The sequence below is a fragment of the Homo sapiens genome, chromosome X, assembly GCF_000001405.40.
Source record: "Homo sapiens chromosome X, GRCh38.p14 Primary Assembly".
Classification (NCBI taxonomy): domain Eukaryota; kingdom Metazoa; phylum Chordata; class Mammalia; order Primates; family Hominidae; genus Homo; species Homo sapiens.
Genome location: NC_000023.11, coordinates 68267190 through 68289369, shown reverse-complemented (window position 1 = coordinate 68289369; position 22180 = coordinate 68267190). Strand labels below are relative to the sequence as shown.

Here is a 22180-nt window from a genome sequence, read left to right as displayed (position 1 = left end):
ACACTTGAGAAACATCTACCATATTGCTTTTCCCATCTCACTTTTCCGAATTTTTTGTAATTTCTTTGAAATTTTCCAAGGATAATGTTCTCTTGCTGTGGTCTTTTTTTAAAAAGAAAATTCTTGGATTGGTAAACATTATTGAGGAATTTTGCAGTAAGTTTTATAAGCCCTGCTTTGTGGTGGTGTTGCGGCAGGGGATGTTGCTATTATTGATGATGGTGTTGTTGTTTGTTATGGTTATGCAGGGCTGTTTTCTTCCATTTCTTAGCCAATTTTCTTAGTCCTCAGTCCTAGTATCTGAAGAGAGGGCAAAAGGACTCTAATGACTTTGGCTCCTTAATGACTATTCTCTCCCACACTCTGTAATGGACAGTCTGATCTCCTCACTAAAGCTTTTATTGCCTTCCCATTAATTCTACAGAGCCGTCTGCAGGGTTAGTTTTTAGAAGATGCTGTAATTAATTATCCATGATATTTGGTTAAAAATAGATCCGTAAGAGGCTTTATAGGACCTCAAGATTCTGAGTCAGAAATAACCCTTGTCCAAACCTTCCGCTTTTGCCTTTTTCTTTTGTCTTTTTTTTCTTTTTCTTTTTCTTTTTGAGATGAAGTTTCACTCTTGTCCCCCAGGCTGGAGTGCAGTGGCACGATCTTGGCTCACTGCAACCTCTGCCTCCTGGGTTCAAGCAATTCTCCTGCCTCAGCCTTCCGAGTAGCTGGGATTACAGGTGTCTGCTTCCACGCTCGGCTAATTTTTGTATTTTTAGTAGAGACGGGGGTCTCACGATGTTGGCCAGGCTGGTCTTGAACGTCTGACCTCAGGTGATCCATCCTCCTTGGCCTCCCAAAGTGCTGGGATTACAGGTGTGAGCCACTGTGCCTGGTTCTGCTTTTGCCCTTTTCTTGATTTGCTATAGATATGACCAAGGGAGAGTGAATATGAGGATATTTGGAGAAGAAAACACCATTTGTGGGGCCAGTTGGAGGGACAGTGAAAACAATGTGACATAGTGCTTTCACTATGACTGGGGACTGTAGATAGAACATTGAAATGGGGTCCTCTTTTGACTGTTCAGCTAGCTGTGTGACCTTGAACAAGTCAGTTCCAATCTCTGGGCCTCAGTTTTCTCAGGAATAAAATGACATAGTTGGACTAAGATAGATGATCTGTAAAAGTCTTAACCTTTTTAGAAAGCAAGTGATTACAATCTTAGAATCAAGAGGCTATCTTGACTTTGCTACATGCTTCTTGCCCTGTGCCACATACTTCTCTAGGCATTTGCAGTCTTCCGATCAAGCAATAAATGTACTCATAGGGCTTTTTCAGGCCACATATTCAGCAATGAGGTTTTTCTTGACTCAGCAACTTAATTTTAAAGTGATTTAACAATTACTGAAGCTGTATGTTAATTGAAAGTAAGGATCAAGAAGCTCTGACCAGGTTACCACGGTGGGAATAGTTGAAAAATGACCTCCAAAAATTCGATCTTTCATAAAAGCAGCAAAAACACTGGCAGAAATTTCCAAAATCAACTTTTTTAAAACTCCAAAAACGAACCAAAATTTTGCAACAAAACAGTGCATGTTTATTAAATAAAAATGGCTGAATAGTTGAGAAAACACTGAGCTCTATGACATTTTAATTTGCCATGTTCCTATTCCTTTCTGCAGTTCCATAGTAGCTTTGAAAACTAACGTCTGTATAATCATGCAATGTGTGCAAACCACCATTCTAGCAGCCATGGGTGAGGGTAGAATGGGTGTGAAGTTACTCAAAATTTGAGAAATATCACTCACAGGGCTTATGTTATTTGAGTTGACTCAGAGTTTACTCTTTAAATGGTTGTTGTTGTTGTTTTACTAGCGCATTTTCTTTCTTTTGTGCATTTTTTTTTTTTTTTTGAGACAGAACTCCTGACCTCAAGCAATCCTCCTGCCTTGGCCTCACAAGCAATCCTCCTGCCTTGGCCTCTGAGATTAAAGGCATGAGTCACTGCAACCCACTTGTGATTGTTTTTTTTTTTTTTTTAATTTCTTTTCTTTTCCTTCCTTCCTTCTTCCTTTCTTTCTTCTTTTCCCCTTCCCTTCCCTTCTCTTCTCTTTTCTTTTCTCCCTTCCCTTCCCTTCCCTCCTTCCTTCTTTCCTTTCTTCCCTTCCCCTTCTCCTCCCTCCCTCCCTTTTCTTTCTTTCTTTCTTTCTTTCTTTCTTTCCTTCTTTCTTCCTTCCTTCCTTCCTTTCTCTCTCTCTTTCTTTTTTTTCTTCCTTTCTTTTTCTTTCTCCTTCCTTCCTTCCTTCCTTTCTTCCTTTCTTAATTTCTTTTCCTTCCTTCCTGCCTTCCTTCCTTCTTTCTCTCTCTCTCTTTCTCTCTCTCTCATCCAGGCTGTAGTGCAGTAGTGGCATCTTGGCTTACTGAAGCCTCTGCCTCCCGATTTCAAGCAATATTCCTGCCTCAGCCTCCTGAGTAGCTGGAATTACAGGCACCTGCCACCATGCCCAGCTAATTTTTGTATTTTTAGTAGAGACAAGTTTCTCCACGTTGGCCAGGCTGGTCTCAAACTTCTGGTCTCAAGCAGTCCACCTGCCTGAGCCTCCCAGAGTACTAGGATTACAGGTGTGAGCCACCACACCTGCCCCTAGGGCATTTTCTAAAACCATTCAGTGGCAGTTGTTTAGTACTACAGTTTCCACAGACAACAAAAAGAATAAAGTAGCAAATAAGAAGCTGAACAATAAACCAAACAGGACAAAATGGAGAATGAATTATCCTTGGAGAGCTTTGAAGAGCTGTGAGATATTCCTGGAAATCTAGGAGTCATGCACATGAGAGGGGCTTTGTACATACCCAGCGTTTGTATCTGTCTAGAAGATACAAACAAGGAGATTAGACTTGAGACATCTAATCTCCCACTTCTGGCTGACCTTCAGCTCTTTGCAAGGAGGAGTGAAGGCTAAGGCACAGTTGTAAACTGTCTGGCTGAATGTTGAAGGCACACCCCACAATACACAGAGAGCCCTTCAGCAAAGGCTTGGAGATATTTGTTCAAACCATTTAAAGAAATCTCTGTCCAATCACTTGTTGACCAGTAAGCTTACTGACCAGAGACTTTAGTGGTTTCATATGACAAAGAATGCAGACTATAGAATGAGTCCATGAAGCCAATGTAACAACAAGCAACCACAAGAACAACAAGCTCTGGGGAAAGAGAGGAGTTCTGATTTCCAAAGTTGCCACACTATTTAGAATGTTAACTTTTAAAAAATTATGAGACATGCAAAGAAATAGTAAAATATGACCCTTGAACAAGGGAAAAAAAGCAATTAATAGAACCTGCCCCCGAGGAAGCCCTTACATTAGATTTTCTAGACAAAGAGTTTCAATTACCTATTTAAATATATTTAAATTAATAAATGAGACCATGTCTAAAGAACTTAAGAAATGAATGAGAACAGTGTCTCACAAAATAGACAATATCAATAAAGAGATAGATTTTTTTTAAAGGAATCAACTGAAACTTGCAGTTGGAAGTTGCAGTATAATAACTGAAATGAAAAACTTACTACTGGGGGTTCAGCACCATATTGTACTGGGAAAATAAATGACCAGCAAATTTAAAGACAAGTGAATTGAGATCATTCAATCTGAGGGAAATAAAGAATAATGATTGAGAAAAATGAACAGAACCTCAGATACCTGTGGGATATCATCAAGCATAAGAGCATATACAGAATGAGAACCTCAGAAGAAGAGAGTGAGACAGGAAAGAAAGAATATTTGAAGAAATAATGGCCAAGAAATTGGCAAATTTGGTGAAAAACATGAATCTGCACATCCAAGAAGTTAAATTTAGAGATACATGCCTAACCATATGAGTCTAATGAAAGAAAATAACAGAGATAATCTTGTAAAAAATAAGAGAAAAATGAAAGAAGAGAAATGAATGAAAACAGTCACAACATACTAAATCTTATGGGATGCTGCTAAAACAGTGTTTGGAAGGAAATTTGTAGCTTCAAATTCCTATGTTAAAAAAGAACAAAGATATCAAATCAATAACCAAACTTTCCAACTTAAGACACTTGAAAAACAAGAGCAAACTAAAGAAACAAAAGTAAAGAAATAATAAAGACTAAAGAGGAAATAAATGAAATGGAGAACAGAAAAAGAATATAATAATAAGGCAGCCTTGTCAAAATAACAAGACAGTCATTGAAACCAAACATCTGTTCTTCATAAAGTTAAACAAAATTGACAAACCCTTAGCTAGACTGACCGTGAGACTACTTGAATTACTAAAATCAGGAATGAAATAGGGGACATTACTACTAATCCTAGAGAAATAAAACTGATTATAATGAAATACTAAATATAGTTGACCCTCAAACAATATGGGTTCAAAACGCAGAGGTCCAGTTACAGGCAGACTTTTTCTCTTTGATTTGGATAGAAAAATACAGTATTTGTGGGATGTGAAATTCACACACATGGAGGGCCAACTTTTCATATGTACGTACATTCACATAAAACTTGTTCACAAATGTTCATGGTTGCATAAACCAGATTCAGAGGTCACATGTGTTTCCATTTATGAGAAATGTCTAGAGTAGGCAAGTTCATGGAAATAGAAAATAGATTAGTGGTTATCTGGGTGTTGGGAGGAAGTGGTAATGGGGTGTAATGCTAATGGGGTTTGGGTTTCTTTTGGGGGTGATGAAAATGTTCTGCAACTGTACAGTGGTGATAGTTGCACAACTTTGTGAATATACTAAAAGCCCGAATTGTACACTTTAAAATGGTGCATTTTATTATGTCTCAGTCCATTTGTGTCACCATAAAGGAATACCCAATGCTAGGTGATTTATGAAGAAGAGAGGTTTATTTGGCTCATGGTTCTGCAGGCTGTATAGGAAGCATGGCATCAGCATCTGCTTCTGGTGAGCACCTCAGGAAGCTTCCAGTGGTGGCAGAAGAAGAAAGGGAGTCAGTGTGTCACACCTCACCTCCAACATTGGGGATCAAATTTCAACATGAGATTTTGAGGAGATAGATACCCAAACTATATTATATGGTGATATCAATTCAGTGATAATAATAAGCACCTAATAAAGATATTGTCACAATTAAACCCTCAAGCAGAAGGCTTGGCACATTTAATGTCCATGAAATTTAGTCTTTTCCTTTAAATGTTTGAATATGATATTTGTCACATTTCCTTTAGAGGTAAACTGATCGTGTCTGGAAAAATGCCAATTAAAATCTCTGACTCTTTTCTTAGCATAAAGTATTTGGGGACAGAAGGTCAATAAACATTTCCATTTTTTCCTGTTTACTCTTTCTGAGTATGGTGTTTATCTTTTCTATGCTACGGTTGAGCTCTGAATGAATTTAGTGTTTTCAAAGGTGATCTCCCTGGGTATTTGCAGCAACTTAATCCTCAGAAGAAGAAAGAAATGTCATTGCCTTGCATCCTGTGTTGACTCCAAAATTCATTTCCTTGACACCAGGAATGCTGGACTTGTTCAGTTGTTTTAAGGAGGAAACTCAATTTTTGATTAAAAATATTAGTATAGACAAATTTGTTTTTCCAGGCTTTCATTCAGATGCCAGTCGAGAATATACTTCCTGCTTCTGGAGAGAAGTTGAGGAATTTGAATAGGCACTAAAGACTATTTAGCTTAACTTACTTTTTTTTGTATATAAAGACATTGAATTTCTGAGAAAGGAAGTGATTTGCCCAGTCATCCTGCCAGTAAGTGGCACAATTGGCACTAGAAGAGTAGAAAGTTTGGGAGGGTGGAAAGGGTAATGTTTATTATTTACTTTGTGTTGACACTACATTCACCATCCAATTTAGTTTTTACAGCAATAGTCTCTGGTTGGTCAGTAGTGGAACAGGGATCCAAACTCGTTTCAGGGTTCTATAGCTGCCAATTAATTACACAGCAAACCTCTTGCCCCTTCCCTAATCTTTTAGCTTGTCTATGAAATAAGAGAAATTCTAGCTACTCCTGAGTGGCTGTAAGGATTAAATAAAATATTAAAGTGTATGGGGATTGATAAAAGAGGAAAGAAAAGAAAAGAAACATTCAACAGGTGCTGAACACCTGCTTTTGTCCTCCGATTTGACACCTTCCTCTAGTGGCCATGTGGGCATAGGGCACTGGTCCCTACTTCCTGTTGCACAGATCTCTATCCATTTGTCTGTCAAGCACCATGATTAATTTGTTTTACATTTGATTCTCTCCTTCCAGCTGAATCCTTCAAGGAATTTGCTGAATTGCTCAACGAGGTAGAAAATGAGAGGATGATGATGGTAAGTCACTAACGCTGTCACTGAAGCTGAGTTCATGGGTGATATAGGGGATTTTTCCTTTCCTTTATGCTTGGATTGATCCTATACTATTTTGATTTCTGTCAGATAGCTTCTTGGTGCTATAAAAATAGTTAGGTAATAGATCTGGTTATTATGTCTCAAGCTTCCACCCTGAGAGTTTGGCATTAGATAGAGGGAAATTAACGTGCAAATCCCATCTGTGTTCATTTCAGTGAAAAATAATTTCAGTGGATATTAAACTGGGCCTTTGAACATGTTGACAGAAATTGAGGTCTTTAGTGTTTTTAGCCAAATTATCCATTTGTTAATCTTTAATTTGTGGAGTAGTTTTACTTTTATAGAGAAAATCAGTAGAAAATAAAGATAGAACTCATATACCACCTTTCTCTCTCCCATTCAGTTTTCCCTATTATTAAACATCATGTGAATGTGATACATTTGTTATAATTGATGAGCCAATATTGAAACAATATTATTAACTAAAGTTCATAGTTTACATTAGAATTTACTCTTGGTATTATACATTTTATAGATTTGACAAATATATAATGACATGTATCCACCATTACAGTGTCACCATACAGAATAGATTCATGGCCGTGAACATTTCTTTTGTCCAATCTATTCATCCTTCTCTTCCTTCTCCAGTCCTGAAACCCTGACAACCACTGATCTTTCTTTTTATTGTGTTTTGCCTTTTCCAGAATGTTTATAGTAGATATCAAACAGTATGTAGCCATTTCAGATTGGCGTATTTGACTTAGCAATATGCATTTTATTTTCCTGTCATTTATTTTTATCATTAAGTAATATCCCATTGTATGATTTACCACAGTTTGTCCACTCACCTACTGAGGGACATCTTGGTTATTTTGGCAATTATAAGGAAAACTATTATAAACAGTTGTATGTAGGTTTTTGTGTTGATACAAATTTCCAACTGATTTGGTTAAATAATAAGGAGTGTAATTGCTGGAGTGTAAATTGTCAGGGTATGTTTAATTTTGTAAGAAATTGCCAACCAACTTCCAAAATAGCTGTGCCATTTCGCATAACCAGCAATGAATCAGAGATCCTGTTGCTCCATGTCCTCGCCAGCTCCATGTTCTTACCAGCATTTGCTGTTGTCAGTGTTCTGGATTTTAGCCATTCTCACGGATGTGTAGTGGTATCTCATTACTGTTGTAATTTGCAACTCCCTAATCACATATCATGCAGAGCATCTTTCCATATGCTTAACTGCCATCGGTATATCCTTTCTGGTGAGGTATTTGTTCAGTTCTTTTGCCTATTATTAAATTGATTTTCTTTTGTTAAGTTTTAAGAGTTCTTTGTATATTTTAGATTCCAGACCTTTATCCAATAGGCATTTGCAAAGATTTTCTCCTCGTCTGTGGCTTGTCTTTTTATTTTCTTAATAGTCTCTTTTGCATTGCATAGGTTTTTAATTTTAATGAAGTCCAACTTACACATTTTTGCTTTAATGGATCATACTTTTGGTGTTATATCTAAAAAGTCTTTTCCAAATCCAAGGTCACCCAGATTTTCTCCTATGTTATATTTTTGGAATTTTTTAGCTTTTTGTTTTACATTTAGGTCAATGATTCATTTTGAATTAATTTTTATGAAGGATATAAGGTCTGTGTCTAGATTCACTGTTTTGCATGTGGATATCCAGTTGCTCCAACACTGTTTTTTGAAAATACTATTCTTTCTCCTTGAATTACCTTTTGTCCTTTATCAAAGATCACTTGACTATATTTATATGGGTCTGTATCTGGGCTCTCTATTTCTGTTGCATTGATCTATTTATCTATTCTTTCACAAATACCACACTATCTTCATTACTTTAGCATGGTAGTAATTGCACTGTAGTAAAAAGCATTGAAGTCAGGTATAAGCTTAAGAATCAGTTTGTTCATATCCACAAAATAACTTGCTGGGATTTTGACTGGGATTGCTTTTAAGATCCTAGAGATATCTTTTTGATTTTGATTAGGATTTGCTTTTAAGCTACCAGGGAAAAACTGATATCTTAAAAATATTGACTTTTCCTAATTATAAACGTGGGTTATCTCTCCATTTATTTATATCTTTTTTGATTTTTTTCATCAGAGTTTTGTAGTTTCCTTATATAGATATTTTATGTATTTTGCTAGATTTCTACTTAAGTGTTTCATTTTTATGAAGTCTAATTATTTTAACAGCCTAAAAATAATCTTTTTGTGTGGTCCTTAGACCGGCAGTACCATCATGACCAGCACCAGCAGAAAATTATTGGAAATACTGGTCCTTGTACCCATCCCAGACTTATTGGGGACTTAAATGTTGAAATGTATGCGTTGATCAATATTCATTTTTATTAGGGGCATGATGGTAAGATGGGAATTCTGTTTTACTTTTCTCCATCAGATGACTTTTTGTGGGCTTCTCAGTTTTGTTAAAGCTATTTATTCCAACAGCCAGAACTAATTTACCTATAAAATCCCTTTCTTTTCAACAGTGTGGTACTGACTTCTCAAAATACTGCTCATAGAATCTAGACTCCTAGAGAAGTAGGAATGAAGGCAGGACTTGGAGGTAGGGGAATTAGAGAATTAAGGCTCTAATTCTGGATCTGTCACTAACTTGTTGACTTCAGATTAATTACTTCATTTTTCTGGGCTCCTTTTTCTTATTTGTAGAGTGAGGAAAATAATCCCCATCTCTTATGGTTGTTTAAAGTGCTCCAAATAACATAGTAAACATGGACGTGTTTTATAAGGGGAAAATACTGATTATGTAAGCATGGTTTTTAGTTATCTTTAGTTACTCACAGGATTCTGCTTGTGGAAATATGATTTGGGAATTTTCTTAGTTTAAAATATTTGCTTTTAAATGTACTAAGAAGAGACCAATATGTGTGGTTTCCCTGGACCCTCTTAGATGGCCCCCTTGCTAATACACAGTCTACTAAATGTTCTTCTCTGCCCACAGGGTTTGTGGACTGCTGCCTATGTTGTTTTCAAAGGCATTTGCCCCCATTTCATTCAGATAGCACTAGAAAGCTCAGCTGTACTTCTCTTTAGCCCTAGTTGTTTCTCCATCTCTTTTATTTACCCAATAACAAAGCCCTCACATATTGAAGTAGTATTCATCTTTTGAGATGTTGTTTTTCTCACCCTTCCTGCTGATACTTTGCCACATGACTGACTCATTTTCTTCTGTCTTTAATTATGTTGTGCCCTTTTGTCCCAACAACTTTTCAATCGTATATTGAGTGTTTGCTCCCTATTTCCCACTTAATTCCAGGAATGCTGAGATGGTTAGGCTTAATGAGTGCCTTTCACCCCATGCCAGGAATTCATTGCTTGATTATAACTTTTCCATTTCCTGGCTTTGTAGCAAAAGGACCCCTCTACCCCAGTCTGGATAATTTAGTGGGTCTTATATTGCATTTTATCCTTTGTAAAAGAAGAGTCCAAAGTAAGCTTTAGAATAACAGTAAGAAAGTTCACAGCACTCAAGCATGGAAATTGCCTGTGTCTGGTCATCTCCATAAATGAATATAAATTGGGGAAGGAATTATGATGGGGAGAAGTGAGGAAGGGCATCCCTGTGATGTTCTCAAAAGTATACTGTTGGGGCTGGGTGCGGTGGCTCACGCTTTTAATCCTAGCTCTTTGGGAGGCTGAGGCAGGCAGATCGCTTGAGGCCAGGAGTTCAAGAGCAGCCTGGTCAACATGGTGAAATCCCGTCTCTACTAAAAATACAAAAATTAGCTGGGCGTTATCGTGCATCTCTAGTCCCAGCTACTCGGGAGGCTGAGGTGGGAGGATCACCTGAACCTGAGGAGGTCAAGGCTGCAGTGAGCCATGATCATGCCACTGTACTACAGCCTGGGCGAGTAAGGCCCTGCCAAAAAAAAAAAAAAAAAAAAAAAAAAAAAAAAAAGAGCGGGGGAGGGCCTTGAAAAGTCTGAATTGCACACTTCTTATATGATTATGAAGCTTGCCTAGATTCCTTTCTGACTCTGAAGGGGCCTCTGTTGGCAATGTGCAAGGTCTGTTTTTGAAGACGGCCAAAAGTGACCTAAAGAGGCCCCCATAATATTTCAGCCTGTCTTTAGTGCTCTTTTTTTAAAAAAAAATTTTTTTTATTTTATTTTTTGTGACGGAGTCTCCCTCTGTTGCCCAGGCTGGAGTGCAGTGGCGTGATTTCGGCTCACTGCAGCCTCCGCCTCCTGGGTTCAAGTGATTCTCCTGCCTCAGCCTCCTGAGTAGCTGGGACTACAGGCACCCACCACCATGCCCAGCTAATTTTTGTATTTTTAGTAGAGATGGGGTTTTGCCATGTTGGCCAGGCTAGCCTGGAACTCCTGGCCTCAGCTGATCCACCCGCCTTGGCCTCCCAAAGTGCTGGGATTACAGGCGCAAGCCACTGCGCCTGGCCCAGTGCTCTCTTTTGATATTTCATTTACCATCAAAGATTCCTGAGCAGTCCTGCAATACTGGACTGAATATCATCTCTATTCTGCTCAACACCTTCAGTGTTACTTTGGCCTTTATTCAATAGGATTCTGATGATAGAAACTCACTAATGAGTTTAGGATGTCACTCGTTATGGTGAAGAGTCTACCTGAGGTAGCAGGTGGGAGTTTTTGTCCCCAGTGAGCTCACACAATGAATGCAGTGATTAGAAAAGAGATTAAAGGCCAAATTTACTTCAAAGGGGAGTCATTGCTAGAGTTCTAAGGGGTTTAAGAATAAAATGGAGTGAAAAAGAAAAAAGAGGAAATCCTCAATGTGACTTTTTTCTACATTCCTAAGTCTCTATTCTGACCAGAAAATAGTATAATAACCAATGAGTGTCATAGAGAGGAAAAGATTCAGAGTATCTGTTTGTGCTGTAGGAGACTGGGAGCAGTGTTGCCAAAGTGATTAAGGGAAAATGATGTCCTGCAATTCTAGTAAAGCATGGACTATTTTTCAGACTGAACTGGGGTCAAACATGTAAAAGTCAGTGGCCTTATGGACCCTGTGAGAGAAGTTGCTGACACACTTGCTTATGCAGGACAATCCCCTTTGGAGCATGAAAAGCCAGCAACTCTGCCCTCCTGGGGGTTCCTGAATATGCAAGGGCCCAGCTCCATACAGTGCTTTAGAAAGTAGTATGTACACTTCTTATTCAAAGGAAAACTTCCTCAATGTTTCACAGTTGGCCACTTCTTAGGTATTACATTTATTTATTTATTTATTTGTTTTTGAGACTGAGTCTTACTCTGTCACCCAGGCTGGAGAGCAGTGGCACAGTCTTGGCTCACTGCAACCTCCGCCTCCTGGGTTCAAGTGATTCTCCTGCCTCAGCCTCCCGAGTAGCTGGGATTACAGGCATGTGCCACCTCGCCCGGCTAGTTTTTTGTATTTGTAGCAGAGACGGGGTTTCACCATTTTGACCAGGCTGGTCTCGAACCCCTGACCTTAGGTGATTCACCTGCCTCGGCTTCCCAAAGTGCTAGGATTACAGGTGTGAGCCACTGCACCTGGCCTGTATTACATTTTTTTAAACTGCAAATTGTCTTTCTAATTATCTATTGCTTCATAACAACTTTTTCTAATATTAGTGGCTGAAACCAGGGTCCCCAACCCCTAGCCTGCAGGGCACCAGTCTGTGGCCTGTTAGGAGCCTGACCACACAGCAGGAGGTGAGCAGCAGGATAGGGAGCATTACTGCTTGAGCTCTGCCTGCTATCAGATCAGTGGCAGCATTAGATTCTCATAGGAGCAAACCCTGTTGTGAACTGGGCATGCAGGATCTAGGTTGCATGCTGTTTATGACAATCTAATGCCTGATGATCTGAGGTTGAATAGTTTCATCCTGAAACCATCTCCACCTCCCCCTACCCTGGGTCCATTGAAAAATTGTCTTCCATGATTCTGCTCCCTGGTGCCAAAAAGGTTGCAGATTACTGGCTTAAACTAAAACTAATTATTTGTAATTATTTTTTGGGTTAGGCATTCAGACGGGTCAGCTGGGCGATTCTTCTGCTCCAAATGATGGCATTTACCTGGCAGATGAGTTGATATGGAGGGTCCAAAATGGTTTTCCTAATGTTTGGCACCTTCCAGTGGGGATGGCAGGAAGGGCGGATTCAGCTGGTATGAGACATTGACTAGAATTTGGCCTCTTCTGTTTGGTAATCTCAGGGTAATTAAACTTCTTATGTACTGTCTCAAGGCTCCTAGTGGGAGTATTCCAAGAGAACTGGGAGAGAACTGGTGCTGGCCTTTTATGACCTAGCTTCAAATGTCACAGAGTGTTACTTCTGGAGTACTCTATTTGTTCAAAATATTAACAAGCCCACTCACATTCAAGGTAGAGGGGACATAGACCTCACCTCTCAATGGAAGGTATGTCAGAGTTTGTGGCCATGTTTTAAAGCTTCCACAATAGTAAAGGAGAAAAATGACTTTCTGTACTGGACCTATGACACCAATAACTTAATTTGTGGGTATTTTTAGTAGAAGAAGTCTTATTTTCAATTAAGGAGAGTCACTGGTGTAATTTTTTTTTGATACCATAATTGTTAGTGGAGCTTTGATTTCCTAAGCAACCAAAATGAATCTTTCTATGAATCAGACCTGCATAGAGAAGTCTTTACTAGGGGCTCTTGCAGGGTGGAATTTATAGACTTTCCTGCCTTTGGCAAATGAGCACACTCAGAGATAAAGAGAATGTTAAGTGTCGTACTGGGAGGTAGGTTATAGTACGATTAGGACTCAATGGGGTTTCATAGATCCAGTAGAAGAGAAGAGATGTGATGAGAATCAGACAGGGTCTGGAAATGTTAGCAGGCAAGAGGTCTGATTTTGTAAAAATCAGCAAACTTTGGGAAGGGTTTCATGATTTTTTAAGTCTAGGCTTGTAGCAAACAAGTTTTAGAAAGCCAACTATAAAAGCACTGGTGATCAGGAGACATAGAGAATGACTCTGTTCTCAAGGAAAACATTTTTTTTCTTGCCTAGTTTTATATTTTTTTTTGCTGGGTGCTGGCTGTCCTGGATGATAGCATTAGGAGCTGCAGTAGATCAGAATGTCAGGGTTCACCAAGATGTTCTCATACAAAGGCTGGCAGTGCCATTTTAGGAGTTTTCCCATTTAGTTGAACCTTGAATCATACCTATACACAGAACAAGAGGCCCAAATTACCTGAAAGACACGTATAACCTATGCACTAATGCCCCACAACTTTCCACACTTTTGGGGAGGTAGGTTAAAAATTGCTTCTTAGATTGGAGAACTCAGATCTTGTCAAAACTGGCTTTTTCCTCTGTTGTCTATTTTTGTTATGAAGATATATCTTGTCTTACTGACACCTATGTCTCATATGACAAGGAAACTTGTCTTTTAGTTTTCTGTCTTGTAATTAATAAAAATTAATGCAATGATTCCCAAAATGCAGCCCTTTAGATGCCTTCTCTAGGGTCTTCCATTTTAGTGATTCTAACTCTCACCATGGAGGCACAAACCCCACTTGTTGCCTTGAACATATACAATCTCATAAGAGGTTTATATGAAGAAAAAGCTTTGTATACCTTTACCTGCCCAAAGAACAAGGGGTCTTCTTTGATTTTGATGTTTTCATATCTCCAGAACATATTTATTATTGCCAATATTAATAGTCCCTGAACAGGCCATTCCTATTAGCTTCTGAGCATTTATATTTAGGTAATTTGAAAGCCTAGTCTAGTGTTTTCTGCGATGCTGTAATGCACTCCATATTCTGAAGGAAATGTTCTGGTTTTATGGCACAGGCAGGACTGTAAATGTTTTATCCTAATGCTATCACTGCACACTCATTTGCCTCTGATGAAATGATTTGCACTTGCTGCAATTGTCCTTTTCTTGTATTTGCCATTCTCTTTCTCTTCTCTTTTTCACCTGTCCTTCAGGTCTCCTGTGTCCTCTGCTGGACATCACTTCAGATATTTATCGATTAAAAACTCAGGTCAGACTATCATTAAAGTTACAGAGAAATGCCCCTCTTATTCTTTCTCCCATTTCTTCTCAATGCATTTGATTTTTCAGAAACAATATAGAAACAAACAGTAACAAAACCCAACAAATCAGCAAACCATTTAACATTTTGCAGGTTGGTATATAAATGAAAATGTAGTAACAAGGAATCTTGTATCTGAACCTTGTTAACCTAGAAATTGTTTTGTTTGTTTTTCCTTTTTGTCTAGGTACACAATGCTAGTGATTTGCTGATTAAACCCTTGGAAAATTTCCGGAAGGAACAAATAGGCTTCACCAAGGTACATTTTCTGTATATGCATAAGATTTTTTAAAATAGCAATCGAATAGTTGTATGGGCTACTATTCTTCACTTTACAAAGATATGCACCAATCTGCTGGTGCTTTGCTCTTGGCCTAGTCAGCCTCCTAAACTGTGCAAAATAAATGTTTGTTGTTTATGTCACCCTGTCTATGGCATTCTGTTATAGTAGCCTCAGCTAACATGACAAAGGGGGTGGGGAGGTGGGTGATTAGTTTCTATGAGAAAATGATCACGAAAGAGAGTAAGAAAATCTAGAATTGGCCTCTGACTTTGTGGCCAACAGGCTCTGTATCTGTGCATAAGTTTCTTCTTCTTTTGGTGTTTTTGTTGTTTTGTCTGGAAAACTAGCTAGCTATCATGTATCAACTGCCTGCTATATTGAGCACTAGGCTAGGTGCTTTACGTTCATTCTTTAATCACAAGGACTTTGTGTGCTTCTGGCATTTTCCCCATTTCACAAATGAGGTAACTGAGCCTTGGACAAGATAAATAACATGACCAAAGTTATATAGCTGGTGATATAGTTTGGATCTGTGTCCCCACCTAAATTTCATGTTCAGTTGTAATTCCCAGTGTTGGAGGTGGGGCCCAGTGGGAGGTGATTGCATCATGGGGGTGGATCCTTCATGAATGGTTCAGTACTATCCCCTCGATGCTGTTCTCCTAGTGGTGAGTGAGTTCTCATCACATCTGGTTGTTTGAAAGTATGTAGCAACTCCCCCACTTCTTGCTCCTGCTCTGGCCATGTAAGATGTACCTGCTTTCCTTTCACCTTCTGCCATGATTTTGTTTCCTGAGACTTCACCAAAGGAGAAGCTGCTGTACTTCCTGTACAGCTTGCAGAACTGTGAGCCCATTAAATCTCTTTTCTTTATAAATTACCCAGTCTCAGGTATTTCTTTATAGCAGTGCTAGAACAGACTGATGTGGTTAGTAAGTGATAGTGGCCTGGATTTAGACCTAAAGGTCTTTTTAGCTTTACGTTCCATACTCTTTACATTAAGCTATGCTGTCTAGATCTTTGCTGTCTATTATGGTAACTACTATCTATTTAAATAAAATTAAATTAACAACTCAGCTCCTCATTCTTTCTAGCCACATTTCAAGTGCTCAGCAGTCACTTGTGTCTAGTAGCTACTGTGTTGGACAGTGCAGATAAAATACATTTCCATCATTGTGCAAAGTTCCGTTGGACAATACTGAGTGCCAGTTAATTTCATTCTTTTCAGCTTGACCATCACATGGATCTCTGTGATTCTCCAATGTCTGTTGAAGGGATGTTAATAATTTTCATTTTTAATCTTTTCAGCTAGGTGTAGGTCTGTTTCATGAGCTCTCAATGTGTATCCACCATGTAGCAAAGGTAGTTTCTTCTACCAGGGCTAAAATACAGCATCTTGTCCAAGCATCTAGTTTTCTTAGGACTAAGAGCATACCAACCAGTAGATATTATTTGGAATATGATGACAATCAGTTTGGATCAAGAATTTGAAAACAGCAAGTTTTTCTTTTTTTAAAAGACACTTTCTTGCCAACTCAGCCTCCCAAAGTGCTGGTATTACAGGCATGAGCCACCATGCCTGGCCATGAAAGTACCAAATTTTGAGAAGAAAGAGCAAATTAGTGGTTGAGCTCCCACTACCTGCTATCATCAGATTGACATGGGCATTGTTAGAAATGACTGGTGTTCAAGCAAAGTGAGTTCCCCTCATAGCCCAGCAATACTTGTTTCACTGGAGTCTCATTAACATCAATACTTAGTTGGGAGAGGATATGATTGAAGAATAGAAGTATATTTAAAATTACAACTGAGGATAAAAATACTTAACCACTTGTGAAACAATTTGATTTACTTTCATTCCCTTATAAGAATAACACTAGGAAAGTAAGGATATGCTACCATGGTTGCCCTCATATTATCTGAGCAAATGGAAATGAATTTGTATTATGTGCAGTCATGCGTCGCCTAATGTTGTTCTGAGAAATGCATCATTACATGTTTTCATGGTTGTGTGAACTTCATAGGAGTTTGCTTAACACAAACCTCGATGGTCTAGCCTAATACACAACTAGGCTATATGGTATAGCCTATTGCTCCTAGGCTACAAACTTGTACGGGTGTTAACTGTACTGAATAATATAGGCAGTTATAACCCAATGGTAAGTATTTGTTTATCTAAACATATAAAGCATACATATAAAAATACTGTATTATAATCTTATAGGACTGTCATTGTATATGCGGTTCATTGTTTACTAAAACATTGTTTTGTGGTGCATGACTGCACTTCCTATGGCCCATGCCTGCACTGAGGGTTTTACATATGCTTTCTTCCTTAATTCTCACAGCAAACCTGTGAGGTAGGATTTTTAATATCCATTGTCTCAATGAAGAAAGTGAGTCTCAGAAAGGTTAAATATGTATCTATCTTTTTTCATACTTCTTTACCAGTAAGGCCAACCTGCATATCTACAAAGAAGACCAACTTAGTATGAGTCATGTCTCCAATAAACTATCTAGAATTCCAATAGTCAAAATGAAGCTTATAGGCTACCCCTGTGTGTTATCAATTTATTGCCAATCAATTCCAAGCCTCTCAATACCTGCTCTGTGATAATGGACAGATTTTCTTTAAGCATCTTTCCTTTATAGTGAGCACACTCTTAAACTTTCTCAGTAGAGGGAGCTGGAGGACGTTGCAGGAGGAAGGGGGATCTCTTGAAGTTTCCAGCTGAGGCGGGGTTGGGGCAGGGTGGGGAGGACAGCTTGATGGAACTCTGACCCAGCCACCCACCCAGACACATGGTGCCTCAATCTCCTTGAAGCCTTCATGACCATGCTGTCCCTCAGCTTCCTTCTGTAGACCCCCTACCCCACATGGCCCACTTGCTGGCTGAAGAGTTATCATGCAGCTATTACCCTCTCTGCAGGGCCCTCATACATTGAGCTTGCACCCTAGGGGGTTCTCACCAAACAAGGCTGGCCCCGTTGAGCTCACCTGCAACTCAGTTTTCCCACCTTCTCTTTATACCTTCTCCGCTGGTCACTGTTGGCCTGCTTTTTTGTAATCTGGTGAGTTGCCTCCTGCTTACATAGTAACTATGAACCACCGGGCCAAATCAGCAAACATTCTGCTATCCGGAGTGTTAAATTACTCCTTTTCTTTTTTTGTGAGACAGGGTGGGTCTCACTCTGTCACCCATACTGAGGTGCAGTGGCAGAATCATGGCTCACTTCAGCCTCAACCTCCCTGGGCTCAGGTGATCCTCTCACCTCAGCCTCTCAAGTTGCTGGGACTACAGGCACATACCACCATGCCTGGCTAATTTTTTTTTTTTTTTTGTAATTTCTGTAGAGATAGGGTTTCGCCATGTTGCCCAGACTGGTCTCGAATGCCTGAGCTCAAGCAGCCCTCCTGGCTTGGCCTCCCAAAGTGTTAGAATTACAGGCGTGAGCTACCACGCCCCACCAAATTACTGCTTTTCAAGTGAGGTCTGAACCCCATTAAAATTTCTCCTTATTTGAGTACTTTTCCTTAAACTTAGAGTACCATATAGAGTTTTCTTATATGTCAATTATTTGTAAGGTTTTCTATCTCCTGATTGGACTTAGCCTGGTATACCCAGCACTGCTGCTAGCTGGCTTTGTGAGTTCACTGGTTGTGATAGGTGCTATATTAGGCCCTTACTCATACATATCCAGTTCTCATTTGAACCTCAGAACAATCTTGCAAAAGTTATTATCCCCCATTAACAGGTGGGGACACTAAGTTCAGTGAGGTGTAGCCTCTAAGGTCACTCAGTAGCTTGGATATGAATTGAGATCTGGTTGTAAGTCTAGGGCTCATTTCACTTTGCAGGAAACAGCACTTCTCTCCGAACCTTAGTTTTCTCATGGCTCATGACAACAAGAACAATGGACAAATATTCCAAATCTGATCTTCTGTTAGTTTGAGATTCTTTTTTTTTAATTATTATTATAATTTAAGTTCTAGGGTACATGTGCACAACGTGCAGGTTTGTTACATATGTATACATGTGCCATGTTGGTGTGCTGCACCCATTAACTCGTCATTTACATTAGGTATATCTCCTAATGCTATCCCTCCCCCCTCCCCCCACCCCACAACAGGCCCCAGTGTGTGATGTTCCCCTTCCTGTGTCCATGTGTTCTCATTGTTCAATTCCCACCTATGAGTGAGAACATGTGGTGTTTGGTTTTTTGTCCTTGTGATAATTTGCTGAGAATAATGGTTTCCAGCTTCATCCATGTCCCCACAAAGGACATGAACTCATCCTTTTTTATGGCTACATAGTATTCCATGGTGTATATGTGCCACATTTTCTTAGTCCAGTCTATCATTGATGGACATTTGGGTTGGTTCCAAGTCTTTGCTATTGTGAATAGTGCCGCAATAAACATATGTGTGCATGTGTCTTTATAGCAGCATGACTTATAATCCTTTGGGTATATACCCAGTAATGGGATGGCTGGGTGAAATGGTATTTCTAGTTCTAGATCCCTGAGGAATTGCCACACTGACTTCCACAAGGGTTGAACTAGTTTACAGTCCCACCAACAGTGTAAAAGTGTTCCTATTTCTCCACATCCTCTCCAGCACCTGTTGTTTCCTGACTTTTTAATGATTGCCATTCTAACTGGTGTGAGATGGTATCTCATTGTGGTTTTGATTTGCATTTCTCTGATGACCAGTGACGATGAGCATTTTTTCCTGTGTCTGTTGACTGCATAAATGTCTTCTTTTGAGAAGCATCTGTTCATATTCTTTGCCCACTTTTTGATGGGGTTGTTTGTTTTTTTCTTGTAAATTTGTTTGAGTTCATTGTAGATTCTGGATATTAGCCCTTTGTCAGATGAGTAGACTGCAAAATTTTTCTCCCATTCTGTAGGTTGCCTGTTCGCTCTGATGGTAGTTTCTTTTGCTGTGCAGCAGCTCTTGAGTTTAATTAGATCCCATTTGTCAATTTTGGCTTTTGTTGCCATTGCTTTTGGTGTTTTAGACATGAAGTCCTTGCCCATGCCTATGTCCTGAATGGTATTGCCTGAGTTTTCTTCTAGGGTTTTTATGGTTTTAGGTCTAACATGTAAGTCTTTAATCCATCTTGAATTAATTTTTGTATAAGGTGTAAGGAAGGGATCCAGTTTCAGCTTTCTACATATGGCTAGCCAGTTTTCCCAGCACCATTTATTAAATAGGGAATCGTTTCCCCATTTCTTGTTTTTGTCAGGTTTGTCAAAGATCATATGGTTGTATATATGTGGCATTATTTCTGAGGGCTCTGTTCTGTTCCATTGGTCTATATCTCTGTTTTGGTACCAATACCATGCTGTTTTGGTTACTGAAGCCTTGTAGTATAGTTTGAAGTCAGGTAGCATGATGCCTCCAGCTTTGTTCTTTTGGCTTAGGATTGACTTGGCGATGTGGGCTCTTTTTTGGTTCCATATGAACTTCAAAGTAGTTTTTTCCAATTCTGTGAAGAAAGTCTTTGGTAGCTTGATGGAGATGGCATTGAATCTATAAATTACCTTGGGCAGTATGGCCATTTTCACGATATTGATTCTTCCTACCCATGAGGATGGAATGTTCTTCCATTTATTTGTATTCTCTTTGATTTCATTGAGCAGTGGTTTCTAGTTCTCCTTGAAGAGGTCCTTCATGTCCCTTGTAAGTTGGATTCCTAGGTATTTTATTCTCTTTGAAGCAATTGTGAATGGGAGTTCACTCATGATTTGGCTCTCTGTCTGTTATTGGTGCATAAGAATGCTTATGATTTTTGCACATTGATTTTGTATCCTGAGACTTTGCTGAAGTTGCCTATCAGCTAAAGGAGATTTTGGGCTAAGACAGTGCGGTTTTTTAGGTATACAATCGTGTCATCTGCAAACAGGGACAATTTGACTTCCTCTTTTCCTAATTGAATACCCTTTATTTCCTTCTCCTGCCTGATTGCCCTTGCCAGAACTTCCAAAACTATGTTGAATAGGAGTGGTGAGAGAGGGCATCCCTGTCTTGTGCCAGTTTTCAAAGGGAATGCTTCCAGTTTTTGCCCATTCAGTATGATATTGTCTGTGGGTTTGTCATAGATAGCTCTTATTATTTTGAGATACGTCCCATCAATGCCTAATTTATTGAGAGTCTTTAGCATGAAGCGTTGTTGAATTTTGTCAAAGGCCTTTTCTGCATCTATTGAGATAATCATATGGTTTTTGTCATTGGTTCTGTTTATATGCTGGATTACGTTTATTGATTTGCATATGTTGAACCAGCCTTGCATCCCAGGGATGAAGCCCACTTGATCATGATAGATAAGCTTTTTGATGTGCTGCTGGATTCGGTTTGCCAGTATTTTACTGAGGATTTTTGCATTTACGTTCATCAGGGATATTGGTCTAAAATTCTCTTTTTTTGTTGTGTCTCTGCCTGGCTTTGGTATCAGAATGATGCTGGCCTCATAAAATGAGTTAGGGAGGATTCCTTCTTTTTTATTGACTGGAATAGTTTCAGAAGGAATGGTACGAGCTGCTCCTTGTACCTCTGTATTCTGTACCTCTGTATTCTGTATTCTGTACCTCTGTATTCTGTACCTCTGTATTCTGTAGAATTCGGCTGTGAATGCATCTGCTCCTGGACTTTTTTTGGTTGGTAAGCTATTAATTATTGCCTCAATTTCAGACCTGTTACTGGTCTATTCAGAGATTCAACTCCTTCCTGGTTTAGTCTTGGGAGGGTATATGTGTCGAGGAATTTATCCATTTCTTCTAGATTTTCTAGTTTATTTGCATAGAGGTGTTTATAGTATTCTCTGATGGTAGTTTGTATTTCTGTGGGATCGGTGGTGATATCCCCTTTATCATTTTTTGTTGCATCTATTTGATACTTCTCTCTTTTATTCTTTATTAGTCTTGCTAGCGGTCTATCAGTTTTGTTGATCTTTTCAAAAAACCAGCTCCTGGATTCATTGATTTCTTTGAAGCATTTTTTGTGTCTCTGTTTCCTTCAGTTCTGCTCTGATCTTCATTAACTATTTGTTGCCTTCTGCTGGCTTTTGAATGTGTTTGCTCTTGCTTCTCTAGTTCTTTTAATTGTGATGTTAAGGTATCAATTTTAGATCTTTCCTGCTTTCTCTTGTGGGCATTTAGTGCTATCAGTTTCCCTCTACACACTGCTTTGAATGTGTCCCAGAGATTCTGGTATGTTGCGTCTTTGTTCTCATTGGTTTCAAAGAACATCTTTATTTCTGCCTTCATTTCGTTATGTACCCAGTAGTCATTCGGGAGCAGGTCGTTCAGTTTCCATGTAGTTGAGCGGTTTTGAGTGAGTTTCTTAATCCTGAGTTCTAGTTTGATTGCACTGTGGTCTGAGAGATAGTTTGTTATAATTTCTGTTCTTTTACATGTGCTGAGGAGTGCTTTACTTCCAACTATGTGGTCAATTTTGGAGTAGGTGTGGTGTGGTGCTGAGAAGAATGTATATTCTGTTGATTTGGGGTGGGGAGTTCTGTA

General features: G+C 39.1%; 1 protein-coding gene across 7 annotated transcripts in view; it reads left to right on the top strand.

Moving 5' to 3' along the window:
- OPHN1 (oligophrenin 1) overlaps nt 1–22180 on the top strand; it is a 391498-nt gene that overhangs the window by 144472 nt on the left and 224846 nt on the right. For all 7 annotated transcript variants that reach the window (XM_011530961.2, NM_001437258.1, XM_006724653.3 and 4 more), the window contains 2 exons: nt 6253–6314; nt 14561–14632. In XM_011530961.2, the coding sequence (XP_011529263.1) occupies nt 6253–6314; nt 14561–14632 (134 nt within the window). The remainder of the gene's footprint in view (nt 1–6252; nt 6315–14560; nt 14633–22180) is intronic.